At 38.9% G+C, this 24863-nt stretch overlaps 1 annotated feature.

Annotated features, from left to right (window-relative positions):
- Positions 1-24863: part of a centromere (Linear centromere model derived predominantly from reads generated in PMID: 17803354. This region does not represent an actual centromere sequence, as long-range ordering of repeats and unmapped WGS contigs is not provided by the model. For details of model production, see http://arxiv.org/abs/1307.0035.) that runs on past both edges of the window.

A 24863-nucleotide genomic window follows, 5' to 3' on the forward strand; every position in this document is an offset into this window, starting at 1 on the left:
TGTGGAGTTTGCAAGTGGAGATTTCAAGCGATTTGATGCCAACAGTAGAAAAGGAAATATCTTCAAATAAAAACTGGACAGAATCATTCTCAGAAACTACTTTGTGATGTGTGCCTTCAACTCACAGAGTTTAACCTTTCTTTTCTTAGAGCAGTTTAGAAACACTCTGCTTGTTATGTCTGCAAGTGGATATTTGGACCTCTTTGAGGCCTTCGTTGCAAACGGGGTTTCTTCCTTTCATGCTAGACTAAGAAGAGTTCTCAGTAACTTTTTTGTGTTGTGTGTATTCAACTCACAGAGTTGAACCTTGCTTTAGAGAGAGCAGATTTGAAACACTCTTGCTGTGGCATTTTCAGGTGGAGATTTCAAGCGATTTGAGGACAATTGCAGAAAAGGAAATATCTTCGTATAATAACCAGACAGAATCATTCTCAGAAAGTGCTTTGTGATGTGTGCGTTCAACTCACAGAGTTTAACCTTTCTTTTCATAGAGGAGTTTGGAAACACACTGTTTGTAAAGTCTGCAAGTGGATATATGGACCTGTTTGAGGCCTTCGTTGGAAACGGGATTTCTTCATTGAATGCTAGACGGAAGAATTCTCAGTAAATTCTTTGTGTTGTGTGCATTCAACTCACAGAGTGGAACGTCCCTTTAGACAGAGCAGATTTGAAACACTCTTTTTGCGGAATTTGCAAGTGGAGATTTCTAGCCATTTGATGCCAACAGTAGAAAGGGAAATATCTTCAAATAAAAACCAGACAGAATCATTCTCAGAAAATTCTTTGTGATGTGTGCGTTCAACTCACATAGTTTAACCTTTCTTTTCATAGAGCAGTTTGGAAACACTCTGTTTGTAAAGTCTGCAAGTGGATATATGGACCGCAATGAGGCCTTCGTTGGAAACGGGATTTCTTCATTTCATGCTAGACAGAAGAATTCTCAGTAACTTCTTTGTGCTGTGTGTATTCAACTCATAGAGTGGAACGTCCCTTTGCACAGAGCGGATTTGAAACACTCTTTTTGTGGAGTTTGCAAGTGGAGATTTCAAGCGATTTGATGCCAACAGTAGAAAAGGAAATATCTTCAAATAAAAACTAGACAGAATCATTCTCAGAAACTACTTTGTGATGTGTGCCTTCAACTCACAGAGTTTAACCTTTCTTTTCTTAGAGCAGTTTAGAAACACTCTGCTTGTTATGTTTCCAAGTGGATATTTGGACCTCTTTGAGGCCTTCGTTGCAAACAGGGTTTCTTCCTTTAATGCTAGACTAAGAAGAGTTCTCAGTAACTTTTTTGTGTTGTGTGTATTCAACTCACAGAGTTGAACCTTGCTTTAGAGAGAGCAGATTTGAAACACTCTTGCTGTGGCATTTTCAGGTGGAGATTTCAAGCGATTTGAGGACAATTGCAGAAAAGGAAATATCTTCGTATAATAACCAGACAGAATCATTCTCAGAAAGTGCTTTGTGATGTGTGCGTTCAACTCACAGAGTTTAACCTTTCTTTTCATAGAGGAGTTTGGAAACACACTGTTTGTAAAGTCTGCAATTGGATATATGGACCTGTTTGAGGCCTTCGTTGGAAACGGGATTTCTTCATTGAATGCTAGGCGGAAGAATTCTCAGTAAATTCTTTGTGTTGTGTGCATTCAACTCACAGAGTGGAACGTCCCTTTAGACAGAGCAGATTTGAAACACTCTTTTTGCGGAATTTGCAAGTGGAGATTTCTAGCCATTTGATGCCAACAGTAGAAAGGGAAATATCTTCAAATAAAAACCAGACAGAATCATTCTCAGAAAATTCTTTGTGATGTGTGCGTTCAACTCACATAGTTTAACCTTTCTTTTCATAGAGCAGTTTGGAAACACTCTGTTTGTGAAGTCTGCAAGTGGATATATAGACCGCATTGAGGCCTTCGTTGGAAACGGGATTTCTTCATTTCATGCTAGACAGAAGAATTCTCAGTAACTTCTTTGTGCTGTGTGTATTCAACTCACAGAGTGGAACGTCCCTTTGCACAGAGCAGATTTGAAACACTCTTTTTGTGGAGTTTGCAAGTGGATATTTCAAGCGATTTGATGCCAACAGTAGAAAAGGAAATATCTTCAAATAAAAACTAGACAGAATCATTCTCAGAAAGTGCTTTGTGATGTGTGCCTTCAACTCACAGAGTTTAACCTTTCTTTTCTTAGAGCAGTTTAGAAACACTCTGCTTGTTATGTCTGCAAGTGGATATTTGGACCTCTTTGAGGCCTTCGTTGCAAACGGGGTTTCTTCCTTTCATGCTAGACTAAGAAGAGTTCTCAGTAACTTTTTTGTGTTGTGTGTATTCAACTCACAGAGTTGAACCTTGCTTTAGAGAGAGCAGATTTGAAACACTCTTGCTGTGGCATTTTCAGGTGGAGATTTCAAGCGATTTGAGGACAATTGCAGAAAAGGAAATATCTTCGTATAATAACCAGAGAGAATCATTCTCAGAAAGTGCTTTGTGATGTGTGCGTTCCACTCACAGAGTTTAACCTTTCTTTTCATAGAGGAGTTTGGAAACACACTGTTTGTAAAGTCTGCAAGTGGATATATGGACCTGTTTGAGGCCTTCGTTGGAAACGGGATTTCTTCATTGAATGCTAGACGGAAGAATTCTCAGTAAATTCTTTGTGTTGTGTGCATTCAACTGACAGAGTGGAACGTCCCTTTAGACAGAGCAGATTTGAAACACTCTTTTTGCGGAATTTGCAAGTGGAGATTTCTAGCCATTTGATGCCAACAGTAGAAAGGGAAATATCTTCAAATAAAAACCAGACAGAATCATTCTCAGAAAATTCTTTGTGATGTGTGCGTTCAACTCACATAGTTTAACCTTTCTTTTCATAGAGCAGTTTGGAAACACTCTGTTTGTAAAGTCTGCAAGTGGATATATGGACTGCATTGAGGCCTTCGTTGGAAACGGGATTTCTTCATTTCATGCTAGACAGAAGAATTCTCAGTAACTTCTTTGTGCTGTGTGTATTCAACTCACAGAGTGGAACGTCCCTTTACACAGAGCAGATTTGAAACACTCTTTTTGTGGAGTTTGCAAGTGGAGATTTCAAGCGATTTGATGCCAACAGTAGAAAAGGAAATATCTTCAAATAAAAACTAGACAGAATCATTCTCAGAAACTACTTTGTGATGTGTGCCTTCAACTCACAGAGTTTAACCTTTCTTTTCTTAGAGCAGTTTAGAAACACTCTGCTTGTTATGTCTGCAAGTGGATATTTGGACCTCTTTGAGGCCTTCGTTGCAAACGGGGTTTCTTCCTTTCATGCTAGACTAAGAAGAGTTCTCAGTAACTTTTTTGTGTTGTGTGTATTCAACTCACAGAGTTGAACCTTGCTTTAGAGAGAGCAGATTTGAAACACTCTTGCTGTGGCATTTTCAGGTGGAGATTTCAAGCGATTTGAGGACAATTGCAGAAAAAGAAATATCTTCGTATAATAACCAGACAGAATCATTCTCAGAAAGTGCTTTGTGATGTGTGCGTTCCACTCACAGAGTTTAACCTTTCTTTTCATACAGGAGTTTGGAAACACACTGTTTGTAAAGTCTGCAAGTGGATATATGGACCTGTTTGAGGCCTTCGTTGGAAAGGGGATTTTTTCATTGAATGCTAGACGGAAGAATTCTCAGTAAATTCTTTGTGTTGTGTGCATTCAACTCACAGAGTGGAACGTCCCTTTAGACAGAGCAGATTTGAAACACTCTTTTTGCGGAATTTGCAAGTGGAGATTTCTAGCCATTTGATGCCAACAGTAGAAAGGGAAATATCTTCAAATAAAAACCAGACAGAATCATTCTCAGAAAATTCTTTGTGATGTGTGCGTTCAACTCACATAGTTTAACCTTTCTTTTCATAGAGCAGTTTGGAAACACTCTGTTTGTAAAGTCTGCAAGTGGATATATGGACCGCATTGAGGCCTTCGTTGGAAACGGGATTTCTTCATTTCATGCTAGACAGAAGAATTCTCAGTAACTTCTTTGTGCTGTGTGTATTCAACTCACAGAGTGGAACGTCCCTTTGCACAGAGCAGATTTGAAACACTCTTTTTGTGGAGTTTGCAAGTGGAGATTTCAAGCGATTTGATGCCAACAGTAGAAAAGGAAATATCTTCAAATAAAAACTAGACAGAATCATTCTCAGAAACTACTTTGTGATGTGTGCCTTCAACTCACAGAGTTTAACCTTTCTTTTCTTAGAGCAGTTTAGAAACACTCTGCTTGTTATGTCTGCAAGTTGATATTTGGACCTCTTTGAGGCCTTCGTTGCAAACGGGGTTTCTTCCTTTAATGCTAGACTAAGAAGAGTTCTCAGTAACTTTTTTGTGTTGTGTGTATTCAACTCACAGAGTTGAACCTTGCTTTAGAGAGAGCAGATTTGAAACACTCTTGCTGTGGCATTTTCAGGTGGAGATTTCAAGCGATTTGAGGACAATTGCAGAAAAGGAAATATCTTCGTATAATAACCAGACAGAATCATTCTCAGAAAGTGCTTTGTGATGTGTGCGTTCAACTCACAGAGTTTAACCTTTCTTTTCATAGAGGAGTTTGGAAACACACTGTTTGTAAAGTCTGCAATTGGATATATGGACCTGTTTGAGGCCTTCGTTGGAAACGGGATTTCTTCATTGAATGCTAGACGGAAGGATTCTCAGTAAATTCTTTGTGTTGAGTGCATTCAACTCACAGAGTGGAACGTCCCTTTAGACAGAGCAGATTTGAAACACTCTTTTTGCGGAATTTGCAAGTGGAGATTTCTAGCCATTTGATGCCAACAGTAGAAAGGGAAATATCTTCAAATAAAAACCAGACAGAATCATTCTCAGAAAATTCTTTGTGATGTGTGCGTTCAACTGACATAGTTTAACCTTTCTTTTCATAGAGCAGTTTGGAAACACTCTGTTTGTAAAGTCTGCAAGTGGATATATGGACCGCATTGAGGCCTTCGTTGGAAACGGGATTTCTTCATTTCATACTAGACAGAAGAATTCTCAGTATCTTCTTTGTGCTGTGTGTATTCAACTCACAGAGTGGAACGTCCCTTTGCACAGAGCAGATTTGAAACACTCTTTTTGTGGAGTTTGCAAGTGGAGATTTCAAGCGATTTGATGCCAACAGTAGAAAAGGAAATATCTTCAAATAAAAACTAGACAGAATCATTCTCAGAAACTACTTTGTGATGTGTGCCTTCAACTCACAGAGTTTAACCTTTCTTTTCTTAGAGCAGTTTAGAAACACTCTGCTTGTTATGTCTGCAAGTGGATATTTGGACCTCTTTGAGGCCTTCGTTGCAAACGGGGTTTCTTCCTTTAATGCTAGACTAAGAAGAGTTCTCAGTAACTTTTTTGTGTTGTGTGTATTCAACTCACAGAGTTGAACCTTGCTTTAGAGAGAGCAGATTTGAAACACTCTTGCTGTGGCATTTTCAGGTGGAGATTTCAAGCGATTTGAGGACAATTGCAGAAAAGGAAATATCTTCGTATAATAACCAGACAGAATCATTCTCAGAAAGTGCTTTGTGATGTGTGCGTTCAACTCACAGAGTTTAACCTTTCTTTTCATAGAGGAGTTTGGAAACACACTGTTTGTAAAGTCTGCAATTGGATATATGGACCTGTTTGAGGCCTTCGTTGGAAACGGGATTTCTTCATTGAATGCTAGACGGAAGAATTCTCAGTAAATTCTTTGTGTTGTGTGCATTCAACTGACAGAGTGGAACGTCCCTTTAGACAGAGCAGATTTGAAACACTCTTTTTGCGGAATTTGCAAGTGGAGATTTCTAGCCATTTGATGCCAACAGTAGAAAGGGAAATATCTTCAAATAAAAACCAGACAGAATCATTCTCAGAAAATTCTTTGTGATGTGTGCGTTCAACTCACATAGTTTAACCTTTCTTTTCATAGAGCAGTTTGGAAACACTCTGTTTGTAAAGTCTGCAAGTGGATATATGGACCGCATTGAGGCCTTCGTTGGAAACGGGATTTCTTCATTTCATGCTAGACAGAAGAATTCTCAGTAACTTCTTTGTGCTGTGTGTATTCAACTCACAGAGTGGAACGTCCCTTTACACAGAGCAGATTTGAAACACTCTTTTTGTGGAATTTGCAAGTGGAGATTTCAAGCGATTTGATGCCAACAGTAGAAAAGGAAATATCTTCAAATAAAAACTAGACAGAATCATTCTCAGAAACTACTTTGTGATGTGTGCCTTCAACTCACAGAGTTTAACCTTTCTTTTCTTAGAGCAGTTTAGAAACACTCTGCTTGTTATGTCTGCAAGTGGATATTTGGACCTCTTTGAGGACTTCGTTGCAAACGGGGTTTCTTCCTTTAATGCTAGACTAAGAAGAGTTCTCAGTAACTTTTTTGTGTTGTGTGCATTCAACTCACAGAGTGGAACGTCCCTTTAGACAGAGCAGATTTGAAACACTCTTTTTGCGGAAGTTGCAAGTGGAGATTTCTAGCCATTTGATGCCAACAATACAAAGGGAAATATCTTCAAATAAAAACTAGACAGAATCATTCTCAGAAAGTGCTTTGTGATGTGTGCGTTCAACTCACAGAGTTTAACCTTTCTTTTCATAGAGGAGTTTGGAAACACACTGTTTGTAAAGTCTGCAATTGGATATATGGACCTGTTTGAGGCCTTCGTTGGAAACGGGATTTCTTCATTGAATGCTAGACGGAAGAATTCTCAGTAAATTCTTTGTGTTGTGTGCATTCAACTGACAGAGTGGAACGTCCCTTTAGACAGAGCAGATTTGAAACACTCTTTTTGCGGAATTTGCAAGTGGAGATTTCTAGCCATTTGATGCCAACAGTAGAAAGGGAAATATCTTCAAATAAAAACCAGACAGAATCATTCTCAGAAAATTCTTTGTGATGTGTGCGTTCAACTCACATAGTTTAACCTTTCTTTTCATAGAGCAGTTTGGAAACACTCTGTTTGTAAAGTCTGCAAGTGGATATATGGACCGCATTGAGGCCTTCGTTGGAAACGGGATTTCTTCATTTCATGCTAGACAGAAGAATTCTCAGTAACTTCTTTGTGCTGTGTGTATTCAACTCACAGAGTGGAACGTCCCTTTACAGAGAGCAGATTTGAAACACTCTTTTTGTGGAGTTTGCAAGTGGAGATTTCAAGCGATTTGATGCCAACAGTAGAAAAGGAAATATCTTCAAATAAAAACTAGACAGAATCATTCTCAGAAACTACTTTGTGATGTGTGCCTTCAACTCACAGAGTTTAACCTTTCTTTTCTTAGAGCAGTTTAGAAACACTCTGCTTGTTATGTCTGCAAGTGGATATTTGGACCTCTTTGAGGCCTTCGTTGCAAACGGGGTTTCTTCCTTTCATGCTAGACTAAGAAGAGTTCTCAGTAACTTTTTTGTGTTGTGTGTATTCAACTCACAGAGTTGAACCTTGCTTTAGAGAGAGCAGATTTGAAACACTCTTGCTGTGGCATTTTCAGGTGGAGATTTCAAGCGATTTGAGGACAATTGCAGAAAAGGAAATATCTTCGTATAATAACCAGACAGAATCATTCTCAGAAAGTGCTTTGTGATGTGTGCGTTCCACTCACAGAGTTTAACCTTTCTTTTCATAGAGGAGTTTGGAAACACACTGTTTGTAAAGTCTGCAAGTGGATATATGGACCTCTTTGAGGCCTTCGTTGGAAACGGGATTTCTTCATTGAATGCTAGACGGAAGAATTCTCAGTAAATTCTTTGTGTTGTGTGCATTCAACTCACAGAGTGGAACGTCCCTTTAGACAGAGCAGATTTGAAACACTCTTTTTGCGGAATTTGCAAGTGGAGATTTCTAGCCATTTGATGCCAACAGTAGAAAGGGAAATATCTTCAAATAAAAACCAGACAGAATCATTCTCAGAAAATTCTTTGTGATGTGTGCGTTCAACTCACATAGTTTAACCTTTCTTTTCATAGAGCAGTTTGGAAACACTCTGTTTGTAAAGTCTGCAAGTGGATATATGGACCGCATTGAGGCCTTCGTTGGAAACGGGATTTCTTCATTTCATGCTAGACAGAAGAATTCTCAGTAACTTCTTTGTGCTGTGTGTATTCAACTCACAGAGTGGAACGTCCCTTTGCACAGAGCAGATTTGAAACACTCTTTTTGTGGAGTTTGCAAGTGGAGATTTCAAGCGATTTGATGCCAACAGTAGAAAAGGAAATATCTTCAAATAAAAACTAGACAGAATCATTCTCAGAAACTACTTTGTGATGTGTGCCTTCAACTCACAGAGTTTAACCTTTCTTTTCTTAGAGCAGTTTAGAAACACTCTGCTTGTTATGTCTGCAAGTGGATATTTGGACCTCTTTGAGGCCTTCGTTGCAAACGGGGTTTCTTCCTTTCATGCTAGACTAAGAAGAGTTCTCAGTAACTTTTTTGTGTTGTGTGTATTCAACTCACAGAGTTGAACCTTGCTTTAGAGAGAGCAGATTTGAAACACTCTTGCTGTGGCATTTTCAGGTGGAGATTTCAAGCGATTTGAGGACAATTGCAGAAAAGGAAATATCTTCGTATAATAACCAGACAGAATCATTCTCAGAAAGTGCTTTGTGATGTGTGCGTTCAACTCACAGAGTTTAACCTTTCTTTTCATAGAGGAGTTTGGAAACACACTGTTTGTAAAGTCTGCAAGTGGATACATGGACCTGTTTGAGGCCTTCGTTGTAAACGGGATTTCTTCATTGAATGCTAGACGGAAGAATTCTCAGTAAATTCTTTGTGTTGTGTGCATTCAACTCACAGAGTGGAACGTCCCTTTAGACAGAGCAGATTTGAAACACTCTTTTTGCGGAATTTGCAAGTGGAGATTTCTAGCCATTTGATGCCAACAGTAGAAAGGGAAATATCTTCAAATAAAAACCAGACAGAATCATTCTCAGAAAATTCTTTGTGATGTGTGCGTTCAACTCACATAGTTTAACCTTTCTTTTCATAGAGCAGTTTGGAAACACTCTGTTTGTAAAGTCTGCAAGTGGATATATGGACCGCATTGAGGCCTTCGTTGGAAACGGGATTTCTTCATTTCATGCTAGACAGAAGAATTCTCAGTAACTTCTTTGTGCTGTGTGTATTCAACTCACAGAGTGCAACGTCCCTTTACACAGAGCAGATTTGAAACACTCTTTTTGTGGAATTTGCAAGTGGAGATTTCAAGCGATTTGATGCCAACAGTAGAAGAGGAAATATCTTCAAATAAAAACTAGACAGAATCATTCTCAGAAACTACTTTGTGATGTGTGCCTTCAACTCGCAGAGTTTAACCTTTCTTTTCTTAGAGCAGTTTAGAAACACTCTGCTTGTTATGTCTGCAAGTGGATATTTGGACCTCTTTGAGGCCTTCGTTGCAAACGGGATTTCTTCCTTTAATGCTAGACTAAGAAGAGTTCTCAGTAACTTTTTTGTGTTGTGTGTATTCAACTCACAGAGTTGAACCTTGCTTTAGAGAGAGCAGATTTGAAACACTCTTGCTGTGGCATTTTCAGGTGGAGATTTCAAGCGATTTGAGGACAATTGCAGAAAAGGAAATATCTTCGTATAATAACCAGACAGAATCATTCTCAGAAAGTGCTTTGTGATGTGTGCGTTCAACTCACAGAGTTTAACCTTTCTTTTCATAGAGGAGTTTGGAAACACACTGTTTGTAAAGTCTGCATGTGGATATATGGACCTGTTTGAGGCCTTCGTTGGAAACGGGATTTCTTCATTGAATGCTAGACGGAAGAATTCTCAGTAAATTCTTTGTGTTGTGTGCATTCAACTCACAGAGTGGAACGTCCCTTTAGACAGAGCAGATTTGAAACACTCTTTTTGCAGAATTTGCAAGTGGAGATTTCTAGCCATTTGATGCCAACGGTAGAAAGGGAAATATCTTCAAATAAAAACTAGACAGAATTATCCTCAGAAAATTCTTTGTGATGTGTGCGTTCAACTCACATAGTTTAACCTTTCTTTTCATAGACCAGTTTGGAAACACTCTGTTGGTAATGTCTGCAAGTGGATATATGGACCGCTTTGAGGACTTCGTTGGAAACGGGATTTCTTAATTTCATGCTAGACAGAAGAATTCTCAGTAACTTCTTTGTGCTGTGTGTATTCAACTCACAGAGTGGAACGTCCCTTTACACAGAGCAGATTTGAAACACTCTTTTTGTGGAGTTTGCAAGTGGAGATTTCAAGCGATTTGATGCCAACAGTAGAAAAGGAAATATCTTCAAATAAAAACTAGACAGAATCATTCTCAGAAACTACTTTGTGATGTGTGCCTTCAACTCACAGAGTTTAACCTTTCTTTTCTTAGAGCAGTTTAGAAACACTCTGCTTGTTATGTCTGCAAGTGGATATTTGGACCTCTTTGAGGCCTTCGTTGCAAACGGGGTTTCTTCCTTTAATGCTAGACTAAGAAGAGTTCGCAGTAACTTTTTTGTGTTGTGTGTATTCAACTCACAGAGTTGAACCTTGCTTTAGAGAGAGCAGATTTGAAACACTCTTGCTGTGGCATTTTCAGGTGGAGATTTCAAGCGATTTGAGGACAATTGCAGAAAAGGAAATATCTTCGTATAATAACCAGACAGAATCATTCTCAGAAAGTGCTTTGTGATGTGTGCGTTCAACTCACAGAGTTTAACCTTTCTTTTCATAGAGGAGTTTGGAAACACACTGTTTGTAAAGTCTGCAAGTGGATATATGGACCTGTTTGAGGCCTTCGTTGGAAACGGGATTTCTTCATTGAATGCTAGACGGAAGAATTCTCAGTAAATTCTTTGTGTTGTGTGCATTCAACTCACAGAGTGGAACGTCCCTTTAGACAGAGCAGATTTGAAACACTCTTTTTGCGGAATTTGCAAGTGGAGATTTCTAGCCATTTGATGCCAACAGTAGAAAGGGAAATATCTTCAAATAAAAACCAGACAGAATCATTCTCAGAAAATTCATTGTGATGTGTGCGTTCAACTCACATAGTTTAACCTTTCTTTTCATAGAGCAGTTTGGAAACACTCTGTTTGTAAATTCTGCAAGTGCATATATGGACCGCATTGAGGCCTTCGTTGGAAACGGGATTTCTTCATTTCATGCTAGACACAAGAATTCTCAGTAACTTCTTTGTGCTGTGTGTATTCAACTCACAGAGTGGAACGTCCCTTTAGACAGAGCAGATTTGAAACACTCTTTTTGTGGAATTTGCAAGTGGAGATTTCAAGCGATTTGATGCCAACAGTAGAAAAGGAAATATCTTCAAATAAAAACTAGACAGAATCATTCTCAGAAACTTCTTTGTGATGTGTGCCTTCAACTCACAGAGTTTAACCTTTCTTTTCTTAGAGCAGTTTAGAAACACTCTGCTTGTTATGTCTGCAAGTGGATATTTGGACCTCTTTGAGGCCTTCGTTGCAAACGGGGTTTCTTCCTTTCATGCTAGACTAAGAAGAGTTCTCAGTAACTTTTTTGTGTTGTGTGTATTCAACTCACAGAGTTGAACCTTGCTTTAGAGAGAGCAGATGTGAAACACTCTTGCTGTGGCATTTTCAGGTGGAGATTTCAAGCGATTTGAGGACAATTGCAGAAAAGGAAATATCTTCGTATAATAACCAGACAGAATCATTCTCAGAAAGTGCTTTGTGATGTGTGCGTTCAACTCACAGAGTTTAACCTTTCTTTTCATAGAGGAGTTTGGAAACACACTGTTTGTAAAGTCTGCAATTGGATATATGGACCTGTTTGAGGCCTTCGTTGGAAACGGGATTTCTTCATTGAATGCTAGACGGAAGAATTCTCAGTAAATTCTTTGTGTTGTGTGCATTCAACTCACAGAGTGGAACGTCCCTTTAGACAGAGCAGATTTGAAACACTCTTTTTGCGGAATTTGCAAGTGGAGATTTCTAGCCATTTGATGCCAACAGTAGAAAGGGAAATATCTTCAAATAAAAACCAGACAGAATCATTCTCAGAAAATTCTTTGTGATGTGTGCGTTCAACTCACATAGTTTAACCTTTCTTTTCATAGAGCAGTTTGGAAACACTCTGTTTGTAAAGTCTGCAAGTGGATATATGGACCGCATTGAGGCCTTCGTTGGAAACGGGATTTCTTCATTTCATGCTAGACAGAAGAATTCTCAGTAACTTCTTTGTGCTGTGTGTATTCAACTCACAGAGTGGAACGTCCCTTTAGACAGAGCAGATTTGAAACACTCTTTTTGCGGAATTTGCAAGTGGAGATTTCTAGCCATTTGATGCCAACAGTAGAAAGGGAAATATCTTCAAATAAAAACCAGACAGAATCATTCTCAGAAAATTCTTTGTGATGTGTGCGTTCAACTCACATAGTTTAACCTTTCTTTTCATAGAGCAGTTTGGAAACACTCTGTTTGTAAAGTCTGCAAGTGGATCTATGGACCGCATTGAGGCCTTCGTTGGAAACGGGATTTCTTCATTTCATGCTAGACAGAAGAATTCTCAGTAACTTCTTTGTGCTGTGTGTATTCAACTCACAGAGTGGAACGTCCCTTTGCACAGAGCAGATTTGAAACACTCTTTTTGTGGAGTTTGCAAGTGGAGATTTCAAGCGATTTGATGCCAACAGTAGAAAAGGAAATATCTTCAAATAAAAACTAGACAGAATCATTCTCAAAAACTACTTTGTGATGTGTGCCTTCAACTCACAGAGTTTAACCTTTCTTTTCTTAGAGCAGTTTAGAAACACTCTGCTTGTTATGTCTGCAAGTGGATATTTGGACCTCTTTGAGGCCTTCGTTGCAAACGGGGTTTCTTCCTTTCATGCTAGACTAAGAAGAGTTCTCAGTAACTTTTTTGTGTTGTGTGTATTCAACTCACAGAGTTGAACCTTGCTTTAGAGAGAGCAGATTTGAAACACTCTTGCTGTGGCATTTTCAGGTGGAGATTTCAAGCGATTTGAGGACAATTGCAGAAAAGGAAATATCTTCGTATAATAACCAGACAGAATCATTCTCAGAAAGTGCTTTGTGATGTGTGCGTTCAACTCACAGAGTTTAACCTTTCTTTTCATAGAGGAGTTTGGAAACACACTGTTTGTAAAGTCTGCAATTGGATATATGGACCTGTTTGAGGCCTTCTTTGGAAACGGGATTTCTTCATTGAATGCTAGACGGAGAAATCTCAGTAAATTCTTTGTGTTGTGTGCATTCAACTCACAGAGTGGAACGTCCCTTTAGACAGAGCAGATTTGAAACACTCTTTTTGCGGAATTTGCAAGTGGAGATTTCTAGCCATTTGATGCCAACAGTAGAAAGGGAAATATCTTCAAATAAAAACCAGACAGAATCATTCTCAGAAAATTCTTTGTGATGTGTGCGTTCAACTCACATAGTTTAACCTTTCTTTTCATAGAGCAGTTTGGAAACACTCTGTTTGTAATGTCTGCAAGTGGATATATGGACGGCATTGAGGCCTTCGTTGGAAACGGGATTTCTTCATTTCATGCTAGACAGAAGCAATTCTCAGTAACTTCTTTGTGCTGTGTGTATTCAACTCACAGAGTGGAACGTCCCTTTGCACAGAGCAGATTTGAAACACTCTTTTTGTGGAGTTTGCAATTGGAGATTTCAAGCGATTTGATGCCAACAGTAGAAAAGGAAATATCTTCAAATAAAAACTAGACAGAATCATTCTCAGAAACTACTTTGTGATGTGTGCCTTCAACTCACAGAGTTTAACCTTTCTTTTCTTAGAGCAGTTTAGAAACACTCTGCTTGTTATGTCTGCAAGTGGATATTTGGACCTCTTTGAGGCCTTCGTTGCAAACGGGGTTTCTTCCTTTCATGCTAGACTAAGAAGAGTTCTCAGTAACTTTTTTGTGTTGTGTGTATTCAACTCACAGAGTTGAACCTTGCTTTAGAGAGAGCAGATTTGAAACACTCTTGCTGTGGCATTTTCAGGTGGAGATTTCAAGCGATTTGAGGACAATTGCAGAAAAGGAAATATCTTCGTATAATAACCAGACAGAATCATTCTCAGAAAGTGCTTTGTGATGTGTGCGTTCAACTCACAGAGTTTAACCTTTCTTTTCATAGAGGAGTTTGGAAACACACTGTTTGTAAAGTCTGCAATTGGATATATGGACCTGTTTGAGGCCTTCGTTGGAAACGGGATTTCTTCATTGAATGCTAGACGGAAGAATTCTCAGTAAATTCTTTGTGTTGTGTGCATTCAACTCACAGAGTGGAACGTCCCTTTAGACAGAGCAGATTTGAAACACTCTTTTTGCGGAATTTGCAAGTGGAGATTTCTAGCCATTTGATGCCAACAGTAGAAAGGGAAATATCTTCAAATAAAAACCAGACAGAATCATTCTCAGAAAATTCTTTGTGATGTGTGCGTTCAACTCACATAGTTTAACCTTTCTTTTCATAGAGCAGTTTGGAAACACTCTGTTTGTAAAGTCTGCAAGTGGATATATGGACCGCATTGAGGCCTTCGTTGGAAACGGGATTTCTTCATTTCATGCTAGACAGAAGAATTCTCAGTAACTTCTTTGTGCTGTGTGTATTCAACTCACAGAGTGGAACGTCCCTTTGCACAGAGCAGATTTGAAACACTCTTTTTGTGGAGTTTGCAAGTGGAGATTTCAAGCGATTTGATGCCAACAGTAGAAAAGGAAATATCTTCAAATAAAAACTAGACAGAATCATTCTCAGAAACTACTTTGTGATGTGTGCCTTCAACTCACAGAGTTTAACCTTTCTTTTCTTAGAGCAGTTTAGAAACACTCTGCTTGTTATGTCTGCAAGTGGATATTTGGACCTCTTTGAGGCCTTCGGTTGCAAACGGGGATTCTTCCTTTCATGCTAGACTAAGAAGAGTTCTCAGTAACTTTTTTGTGTTGTGTGTATTCAACTCACAGAGTTGAACCTTGCTTTAGAGAGAGCAGATTTGAAACACTCTTGCTGTGGCATTTTCAGGTGGAGATTTCAAGCGATTTGAGGATAATTGCAGAAAAGGAAATATCTTCGTATAATAACCAGACAGAATCATTCTCAGAAAGTGCTTTGTGATGTGTGCGTTCAACTCACAGAGTTTAACCTTTCTTTCCATAGAGGAGTTTGGAAACACACTGTTTGTAAAGTCTGCAATTGGATATATGGACCTGTTTGAGGCCTTCGTTGGAAACGGGATTTCTTCATTGAATGCTAGACGGAAGAATTCTCAGTAAATTCTTTGTGTTGTGTGCATTCAACTCACAGAGTGGAACGTCCCTTTAGACAGAGCAGATTTGAAACACTCTTTTTGCGGAATTTGCAAGTGGAGATTTCTAGCCATTTGATGCCAACAGTAGAAAGGGAAACATCTTCAAATAAAAACCAGACAGAATCATTCTCAGAAAATTCTTTGTGATGTGTGCGTTCAACTCACATAGTTTAACCTTTCTTTTCATAGAGCAGTTTGGAAACACTCTGTTTGTAAAGTCTGCAAGTGGATATATGGACCGCATTGAGGCCTTCGTTGGAAACGGGATTTCTTCATTTCATGCTAGACAGAAGAATTCTCAGTAACTTCTTTGTGCTGTGTGTATTCAACTCACAGAGTGGAACGTCCCTTTGCACAGAGCAGATTTGAAACACTCTTTTTGTGGAATTTGCAAGTGGAGATTTCAAGCGATTTGATGCCAACAGTAGAAAAGGAAATATCTTCAAATAAAAACTAGACAGAATCATTCTCAGAAACTACTTTGTGATGTGTGCCTTCAACTCACAGAGTTTAACCTTTCTTTTCTTAGAGCAGTTTAGAAACACTCTGCTTGTTATGTCTGCAAGTGGATATTTGGACCTCTTTGAGGCCTTCGTTGCAAACGGGGTTTCTTCCTTTCATGCTAGACTAAGAAGAGTTCTCAGTAACTTTTTTGTGTTGTGTGTATTCAACTCACAGAGTTGAACCTTGCTTTAGAGAGAGCAGATTTGAAACACTCTTGCTGTGGCATTTTCAGGTGGAGATTTCAAGCGATTTGAGAACAATAACAGAAAAGGAAATATCTTCGTATAACAACCAGACAGAATCATTCTCAGAAAGTGCTTTGTGATGTGTGCGTTCCACTCACAGAGTTTAACCTTTCTTTTCATAGAGGAGTTTGGAAACACACTGTTTGTAAACTCTGCAAGTGGATATATGGACCTGTTTGAGGCCTTCGTTGGAAACGGGATTTCTTCATTGAATGCTAGACGGAAGAATTCTCAGTAAATTCTTTGTGTTGTGTGCATTCAACTCACAGAGTGGAACGTCCCTTTAGACAGAGCAGATTTGAAACACTCTTTTTGCGGAATTTGCAAGTAGAGATTTCTAGCCATTTGATGCCAACAGTAGAAAGGGAAATATCTTCAAATAAAAACCAGACAGAATCATTCTCAGAAAATTCTTTGTGATGTGTGCGTTCAACTCACATAGTTTAACCTTTCTTTTCATAGAGCAGTTTGGAAACACTCTGTTTGTAAAGTCTGCAAGTGGATATATGGACCGCATTGAGGCCTTCGTTGGAAACGGGATTTCTTCATTTCATGCTAGACAGAAGAATTCTCAGTAACTTCTTTGTGCTGTGTGTATTCAACTCACAGAGTGGAACGTCCCTTTACACAGAGCAGATTTGAAACACTCTTTTTGTGGAGTTTGCAAGTGGAGATTTCAAGCGATTTGATGCCAACAGTAGAAAAGGAAATATCTTCAAATAAAAACTAGACAGAATCATTCTCAGAAACTACTTTGTGATGTGTGCCTTCAACTCACAGAGTTTAACCTTTCTTTTCTTAGAGCAGTTTAGAATCACTCTGCTTGTTATGTCTGCAAGTGGATATTTGGACCTCTTTGAGGCCTTCGTTGCAAACGGGGTTTCTTCCTTTAATGCTAGACTAAGAAGAGTTCTCAGTAACTTTTTTGTGTTGTGTGTATTCAACTCACAGAGTTGAACCTTACTTTAGAGAGAGCAGATTTGAAACACTCTCGCTGTGGAATTTTCAGGTGGAGATTTCAAGCGATTTGAGGACAATTGCAGAAAAGGAAATATCTTCGTATAATAACCAGACAGAATCATTCTCAGAAAGTGCTTTGTGATGTGTGCGTTCAACTCACAGTAGTTTAACCTTTCTTTTCATAGAGGAGTTTGGAAACACACTGTTTGTAAAGTCTGCAGGTGGATATATGGACCTGTTTGAGTCCTTCGTTGGAAACGGGATTTCTTCATTGAATGCTAGACGGAAGAATTCTCAGTAAATTCTTTGTGTTGTGTGCATTCAACTCACAGAGTGGAACGTCCCTTTAGACAGAGCAGATTTGAAACACTCTTTTTGCGGAATTTGCAAGTGGAGATTTCTAGCCATTTGATGCCAACAGTAGAAAGGGAAATATCTTCAAATAAAAACCAGACAGAATCATTCTCAGAAAATTCTTTGTGATGTGTGCGTTCAACTCACATAGTTTAACCTTTCTTTTCATAGAGCAGTTTGGAAACACTCTGTTTGTAAAGTCTGCAAGTGGATATATGGACCGCATTGAGGCCTTCGTTGGAAACGGGATTTCTTCATTTCATGCTAGACAGAAGAATTCTCAGTAACTTCTTTGTGCTGTGTGTATTCAACTCACAGAGTGGAACGTCCCTTTGCACAGAGCAGATTTGAAACACTCTTTTTGTGGAGTTTGCAAGTGGAGATTTCAAGCGATTTGATGCCAACAGTAGAAAAGGAAATATCTTCAAATAAAAACTAGACAGAATCATTCTCAGAAACTACTTTGTGATGTGTGCCTTCAACTCACAGAGTTTAACCTTTCTTTTCTTAGAGCAGTTTAGAAACACTCTGCTTGTTATGTCTGCAAGTGGATATTTGGACCTCTTTGAGGCCTTCGTTGCAAACGGGGTTTCTTCCTTTCATGCTAGACTAAGAAGAGTTCTCAGTAACTTTTTTGTGTTGTGTGTATTCAACTCACAGAGTTGAACCTTGCTTTAGAGAGAGCAGATTTGAAACACTCTTGCTGTGGCATTTTCAGGTGGAGATTTCAAGCGATTTGAGGACAATTACAGAAAAGGAAATATCTTCGTATAACAACCAGACAGAATCATTCTCAGAAAGTGCTTTGTGATGTGTGCGTTCCACTCACAGAGATTAACCTTTCTTTTCATAGAGGAGTTTGGAAACACACTGTTTGTAAACTCTGCAAGTGGATATATGGACCTGTTTGAGGCCTTCGTTGGAAACGGGATTTCTTCATTGAATGCTAGACGGAAGAATTCTCAGTAAATTCTTTGTGTTGTGTGCATTCAACTCACAGAGTGGAACGTCCCTTTAGACAGAGCAGATTTGAAACACTCTTTTTGCGGAATTTGCAAGTGGAGATTTCTAGCCATTTGATGCCAACAGTAGAAAGGGAAATATCTTCAAATAAAAACCAGACAGAATCATTCTCAGAAAATTCTTTGTGATGTGTGCGTTCAACTCACATAGTTTAACCTTTCTTTTCATAGAGCAGTTTGGAAACACTCTGTTTGTAAAGTCTGCAAGTGGATATATGGACCGCATTGAGGCCTTCGTTGGAAACGGGATTTCTTCATTTCATGCTAGACAGAAGAATTCTCAGTAACTTCTTTGTGCTGTGTGTATTCAACTCACAGAGTGGAACGTCCCTTTACACAGAGCAGATTTGAAACACTCTTTTTGTGGAGTTTGCAAGTGGAGATTTCAAGCGATTTGATGCCAACAGTAGAAAAGGAAATATCTTCAAATAAAAACTAGACAGAATCATTCTCAGAAACTACTTTGTGATGTGTGCCTTCAACTCACAGAGTTTAACCTTTCTTTTCTTAGAGCAGTTTAGAAACACTCTGCTTGTTATGTCTGCAAGTGGATATTTGGACCTCTTTGAGGCCTTCGTTGCAAACGGGGTTTCTTCCGTTCATGCTAGAGTAAGAAGAGTTCTCAGTAACTTTTTTGTGTTGTGTGTATTCAACTCACAGAGTTGAACCTTGCTTTAGAGAGAGCAGATTTGAAACACTCTTGCTGTGGCATTTTCAGGTGGAGATTTCAAGCGATTTGAGGACAATTGCAGAAAAGGAAATATCTTCGTATAACAACCAGACAGAATCATTCTCAGAAAGTGCTTTGTGATGTGTGCGTTCAACTCACAGAGTTTAACCTTTCTTTTCATAGAGGAGTTTGGAAACACACTGTTTGTAAAGTCTGCAATTGGATATATGGACCTGTTTGAGGCCTTCGTTGGAAACGGGATTTCTTCATTGAATGCTAGGCGGAAGAATTCTCAGTAAATTCTTTGTGTTGTGTGCATTCAACTCACAGAGTGGAACGTCCCTTTAGACAGAGCAGATTTGAAACACTCTTTTTGCGGAATTTGCAAGTGGAGATTTCTAGCCATTTGATGCCAACAGTAGAAAGGGAAATATCTTCAAATAAAAACCAGACAGAATCATTCTCAGAAAATTCTTTGTGATGTGTGCGTTCAACTCACATAGTTTAACCTTTCTTTTCATAGAGCAGTTTGGAAACACTCTGTTTGTAAAGTCTGCAAGTGGATATATGGACCGCATTGAGGCCTTCGTTGGAAACGGGATTTCTTCATTTCATGCTAGACAGAAGAATTCTCAGTAACTTCTTTGTGCTGTGTGTATTCAACTCACAGAGTGGAACGTCCCTTTGCACAGAGCAGATTTGAAACACTCTTTTTGTGGAATTTGCAAGTGGAGATTTCAAGCGATTTGATGCCAACAGTAGAAAAGGAAATATCTTCAAATAAAAACTAGACAGAATCATTCTCAGAAACTACTTTGTGATGTGTGCCTTCAACTCACAGAGTTTAACCTTTCTTTTCTTAGAGCAGTTTAGAAACACTCTGCTTGTTATGTCTGCAAGTGGATATTTGGACCTCTTTGAGGCCTTCGTTGCAAACGGGGTTTCTTCCTTTCATGCTAGACTAAGAAGAGTTCTCAGTAACTTTTTTGTGTTGTGTGTATTCAACTCACAGAGTTGAACCTTGCTTTAGAGAGAGCAGATTTGAAACACTCTTGCTGTGGCATTTTCAGGTGGAGATTTCAAGCGATTTGAGGACAATTGCAGAAAAGGAAATATCTTCGTATAATAACCAGACAGAATCATTCTCAGAAAGTGCTTTGTGATGTGTGCGTTCAACTCACAGAGTTTAACTTTTCTTTTCATAGAGGAGTTTGGAAACACACTGTTTCTAAAGTCTGCAATTGGATATATGGACCTGTTTGAATCCTTCGTTGGAAACGGGATTTCTTCATTGAATGCTAGACGGAAGAATTCTCAGTAAATTCTTTGTGTTGTGTGCATTCAACTCACAGAGTGGAACGTCCCTTCAGACAGAGCAGATTTGAAACACTCTTTTTGCGGAATTTGCAAGTGGAGATTTCTAGCCATTTGATGCCAACAGTAGAAAGGGAAATATCTTCAAATAAGAACTAGACAGAATCATCCTCAGAAAATTCTTTGTGATGTGTGCGTTCAACTCACATAGTTTAACCTTTCTTTTCATAGAGCAGTTTGGAAACACTCTGTTGGTAAAGTCTGCAAGTGGATATATGGACCGCATTGAGGCCTTCGTTGGAAACGGGATTTCTTCATTTCATGCTAGACAGAAGAATTCTCAGTAACTACTTTGTGCTGTGTGTATTCACCTCACAGAGTGGAACGTTCCTTTACACAGAGCAGATTTGAAACACTCTTTTTGTGGAAATTGCAAGTGGAGATTTCAAGCGATTTGATGCCAACAGTAGAAAAGGAAATATCTTCAAATAAAAACTAGACAGAATCATTCTCAGAAACTTCTTTGTGATGTGTGCCCTCAACTCACAGAGTTTAACCTTTCTTTTCTTAGAGCAGTTTAGAAACACTCTGCTTGTTATGTCTGCAAGTGGATATTTGGACCTCTTTGAGGCCTTCGTTGCAAACGGGGTTTCTTCCTTTCATGCTAGACTAAGAAGAGTTCTCAGTAACTTTTTTGTGTTGCGTGTATTCAACTCACAGAGTTGAACCTTGCTTTAGAGAGAGCAGATTTGAAACACTCTTGCTGTGGCATTTTCAGGTGGAGATTTCAAGCGATTTGAGGACAATTTCAGAAAAGGAAATATCTTCGTATAATAACCAGACAGAATCATTCTCAGAAAGTGCTTTGTGATGTGTGCGTTCAACTCACAGAGTTTAACCTTTCTTTTCATAGAGGAGTTTGGAAACACACTGTTTGTAAAGTCTGCAAGTGGATATATGGACCTGTTTGAGGCCTTCGTTGGAAACGAGATTTCTTCATTGAATGCTAGACGGAAGAATTCTCAGTAAATTCTTTGTGTTGTGTGCATTCAACTCACACAGTGGAACGTCCCTTTAGACAGAGCAGATTTGAAACACTCTTTTTGCGGAAGTTGCAAGTGGAGATTTCTAGCCATTTGATGCCAACAGTAGAAAGGGAAATATCTTCAAATAAAAACTAGACAGAATCATTCTCAGAAAGTGCTTTGTGATGTGTGCGTTCAACTCACAGAGTTTAACCTTTCTTTTCATAGAGGAGTTTGGAAACACACTGTTTGTAAAGTCTGCAATTGGATATATGGACCTGTTTGAGGCCTTCGTTGGAAACGGGATTTCTTCATTGCATGCTAGACGGAAGAATTCTCAGTAAATTCTTTGTGTGGTGTGCATTCAACTCACAGAGTGGAACGTCCCTTTAGACAGAGCAGATTTGAAACACTCTTTTTGCGGAATTTGCAAGTGGAGATTTCTAGCCATTTGATGCCAACAGTAGAAAGGGAAATATCTTCAAATAAAAACCAGACAGAATCATTCTCAGAAAATTCTTTGTGATGTGTGCGTTCAACTCACATAGTTTAACCTTTCTTTTCATAGAGCAGTTTGGAAACACTCTGTTTGTAAAGTCTGCAAGTGGATATATGGACCGCATTGAGGCCTTCGTTGGAAACGGGATTTCTTCATTTCATGCTAGACAGAAGAATTCTCAGTAACTTCTTTGTGCTGTGTGTATTCAACTCACAGAGTGGAACGTCCCTTTACACAGAGCAGATTTGAAACACTCTTTTTGTGGAGTTTGCAATTGGAGATTTCAAGCGATTTGATGCCAACAGTAGAAAAGGAAATATCTTCAAATAAAAACTAGACAGAATCATTCTCAGAAACTACTTTGTGATGTGTGCCTTCAACTCACAGAGTTTAACCTTTCTTTTCTTAGAGCAGTTTAGAAACACTCTGCTTGTTATGTCTGCAAGTGGATATTTGGACCTCTTTGAGGCCTTCGTTGCAAACGGGGTTTCTTCCTTTCATGCTAGACTAAGAAGAGTTCTCAGTAACTTTTTTGTGTTGTGTGTATTCAACTCACAGAGTTGAACCTTGCTTTAGAGAGAGCAGATTTGAAACACTCTTGCTGTGGCATTTTCAGGTGGAGATTTCAAGCGATTTGAGGACAATTGCAGAAAAGGAAATATCTTCGTATAACAACCAGATAGAATCATTCTCAGAAAGTGCTTTGTGATGTGTGCGTTCAACTTACAGAGTTTAACCTTTCTTTTCATAGAGGAGTTTGGAAACACACTGTTTGTAAAGTCTGCAATTGGATATATGGACCTGTTTGAGGCCTTCGTTGGAAACGGGATTTCTTCATTGAATGCTAGACGGAAGAATTCTCAGTAAATTCTTTGTGTGGTGTGCATTCAACTCACAGAGTGGAACGTCCCTTTAGACAGAGCAGATTTGAAACACTCTTTTTGCGGAATTTGCAAGTGGAGATTTCTAGCCATTTGATGCCAACAGTAGAAAGGGAAATATCTTCAAATAAAAACCAGACAGAATCATTCTCAGAAAATTCTTTGTGATGTGTGCGTTCAACTCACATAGTTTAACCTTTCTTTTCATAGAGCAGTTTGGAAACACTCTGTTTGTAAAGTCTGCAAGTGGATATATGGACCGCATTGAGGCCTTCGTTGGAAACGGGATTTCTTCATTTCATGCTAGACAGAAGAATTCTCAGTAACTTCTTTGTGCTGTGTGTATTCAACTCACAGAGTGGAACGTCCCTTTACACAGAGCAGATTTGAAACACTCTTTTTGTGGAGTTTGCAAGTGGAGATTTCAAGCGATTTGATGCCAACAGTAGAAAAGGAAATATCTTCAAATAAAAACTAGACAGAATCATTCTCAGAAACTACTTTGTGATGTGTGCCTTCAACTCACAGAGTTTAACCTTTCTCTTTCTTAGAGCAGTTTAGAAACACCTCTGCTTGTTATGTCTGCAAGTGGATATTTGGACCTCTTTGAGGCCTTCATTGCAAACGGCGTTTCTTCCTTTAATGCTAGACTAAGAAGAGTTCTCAGTAACTTTTTTGTGTTGTGTGTATTCAACTCACAGAGTTGAACCTTGCTTTAGAGAGAGCAGATTTGAAACACTCTTGCTGTGGCATTTTCAGGTGGAGATTTCAAGCGTTTTGAGGACAATTGCAGAAAAGGAAATATCTTCGTATAATAACCAGACAGAATCATTCTCAGAAAGTGCTTTGTGATGTGTGCGTTCCACTCACAGAGTTTAACCTTTCTTTTCATAGAGGAGTTTGGAAACACACTGTTTGTAAACTCTGCAAGTGGATATATGGACCTGTTTGAGGCCTTCGTTGGAAACGGGATTTCTTCATTGAATGCTAGACGGAAGAATTCTCAGTAAATTCTTTGTGTTGTGTGCATTCAACTCACAGAGTGGAACGTCCCTTTAGACAGAGCAGATTTGAAACACTCTTTTTGCGGAATTTGCAAGTGGAGATTTCTAGCCATTTGATGCCAACAGTAGAAAGGGAAATATCTTCAAATAAAAACCAGACAGAATCATTCTCAGAAAATTCTTTGTGATGTGTGCGTTCAACTCACATAGTTTAACCTTTCTTTTCATAGAGCAGTTTGGAAACACTCTGTTTGTAAAGTCTGCAAGTGGATATATGGACCGCATTGAGGCCTTCGTTGGAAACGGGATTTCTTCATTTCATGCTAGACAGAAGAATTCTCAGTAACTTCTTTGTGCTGTGTGTATTCAACTCACAGAGTGGAACGTCCCTTTGCACAGAGCAGATTTGGAACACTCTTTTTGTGGAGTTTGCTAGTGGAGATTTCAAGCGATTTGATGCCAACAGTAGAAAAGGAAATATCTTCAAATAAAAACTAGACAGAATCATTCTCAGAAACTACTTTGTGATGTGTGCCTTTAACTCACAGAGTTTAACCTTTCTTTTCTTAGAGCAGTTTAGAAACACTCTGCTTGTTATGTCTGCAAGTGGATATTTGGACCTCTTTGAGGCCTTCGTTGCAAACGGGGTTTCTTCCTTTCATGCTAGACTAAGAAGAGTTCTCAGTAACTTTTTTGTGTTGTGTGTATTCAACTCACAGAGTTGAACCTTGCTTTAGAGAGAGCAGATTTGAAACACTCTTGCTGTGGCATTTTCAGGTGGAGATTTCAAGCGATTTGAGGACAATTGCAGAAAAGGAAATATCTTCGTATAATAACCAGACAGAATCATTCTCAGAAAGTGCTTTGTGATGTGTGCGTTCAACTCACAGAGTTTAACCTTTCTTTTCATAGAGGAGTTTGGAAACACACTGTTTGTAAAGTCTGCAATTGGATATATGGACCTGTTTGAGGCCTTCGTTGGAAACGGGATTTCTTCATTGCATGCTAGACGGAAGAATTCTCAGTAAATTCTTTGTGTTGTGTGCATTCAACTCACAGAGTGGAACGTCCCTTTAGACAGAGCAGATTTGAAA

Source organism: Homo sapiens, chromosome 7, assembly GCF_000001405.40.
Source record: "Homo sapiens chromosome 7, GRCh38.p14 Primary Assembly".
Classification (NCBI taxonomy): Eukaryota; Metazoa; Chordata; class Mammalia; order Primates; family Hominidae; genus Homo; species Homo sapiens.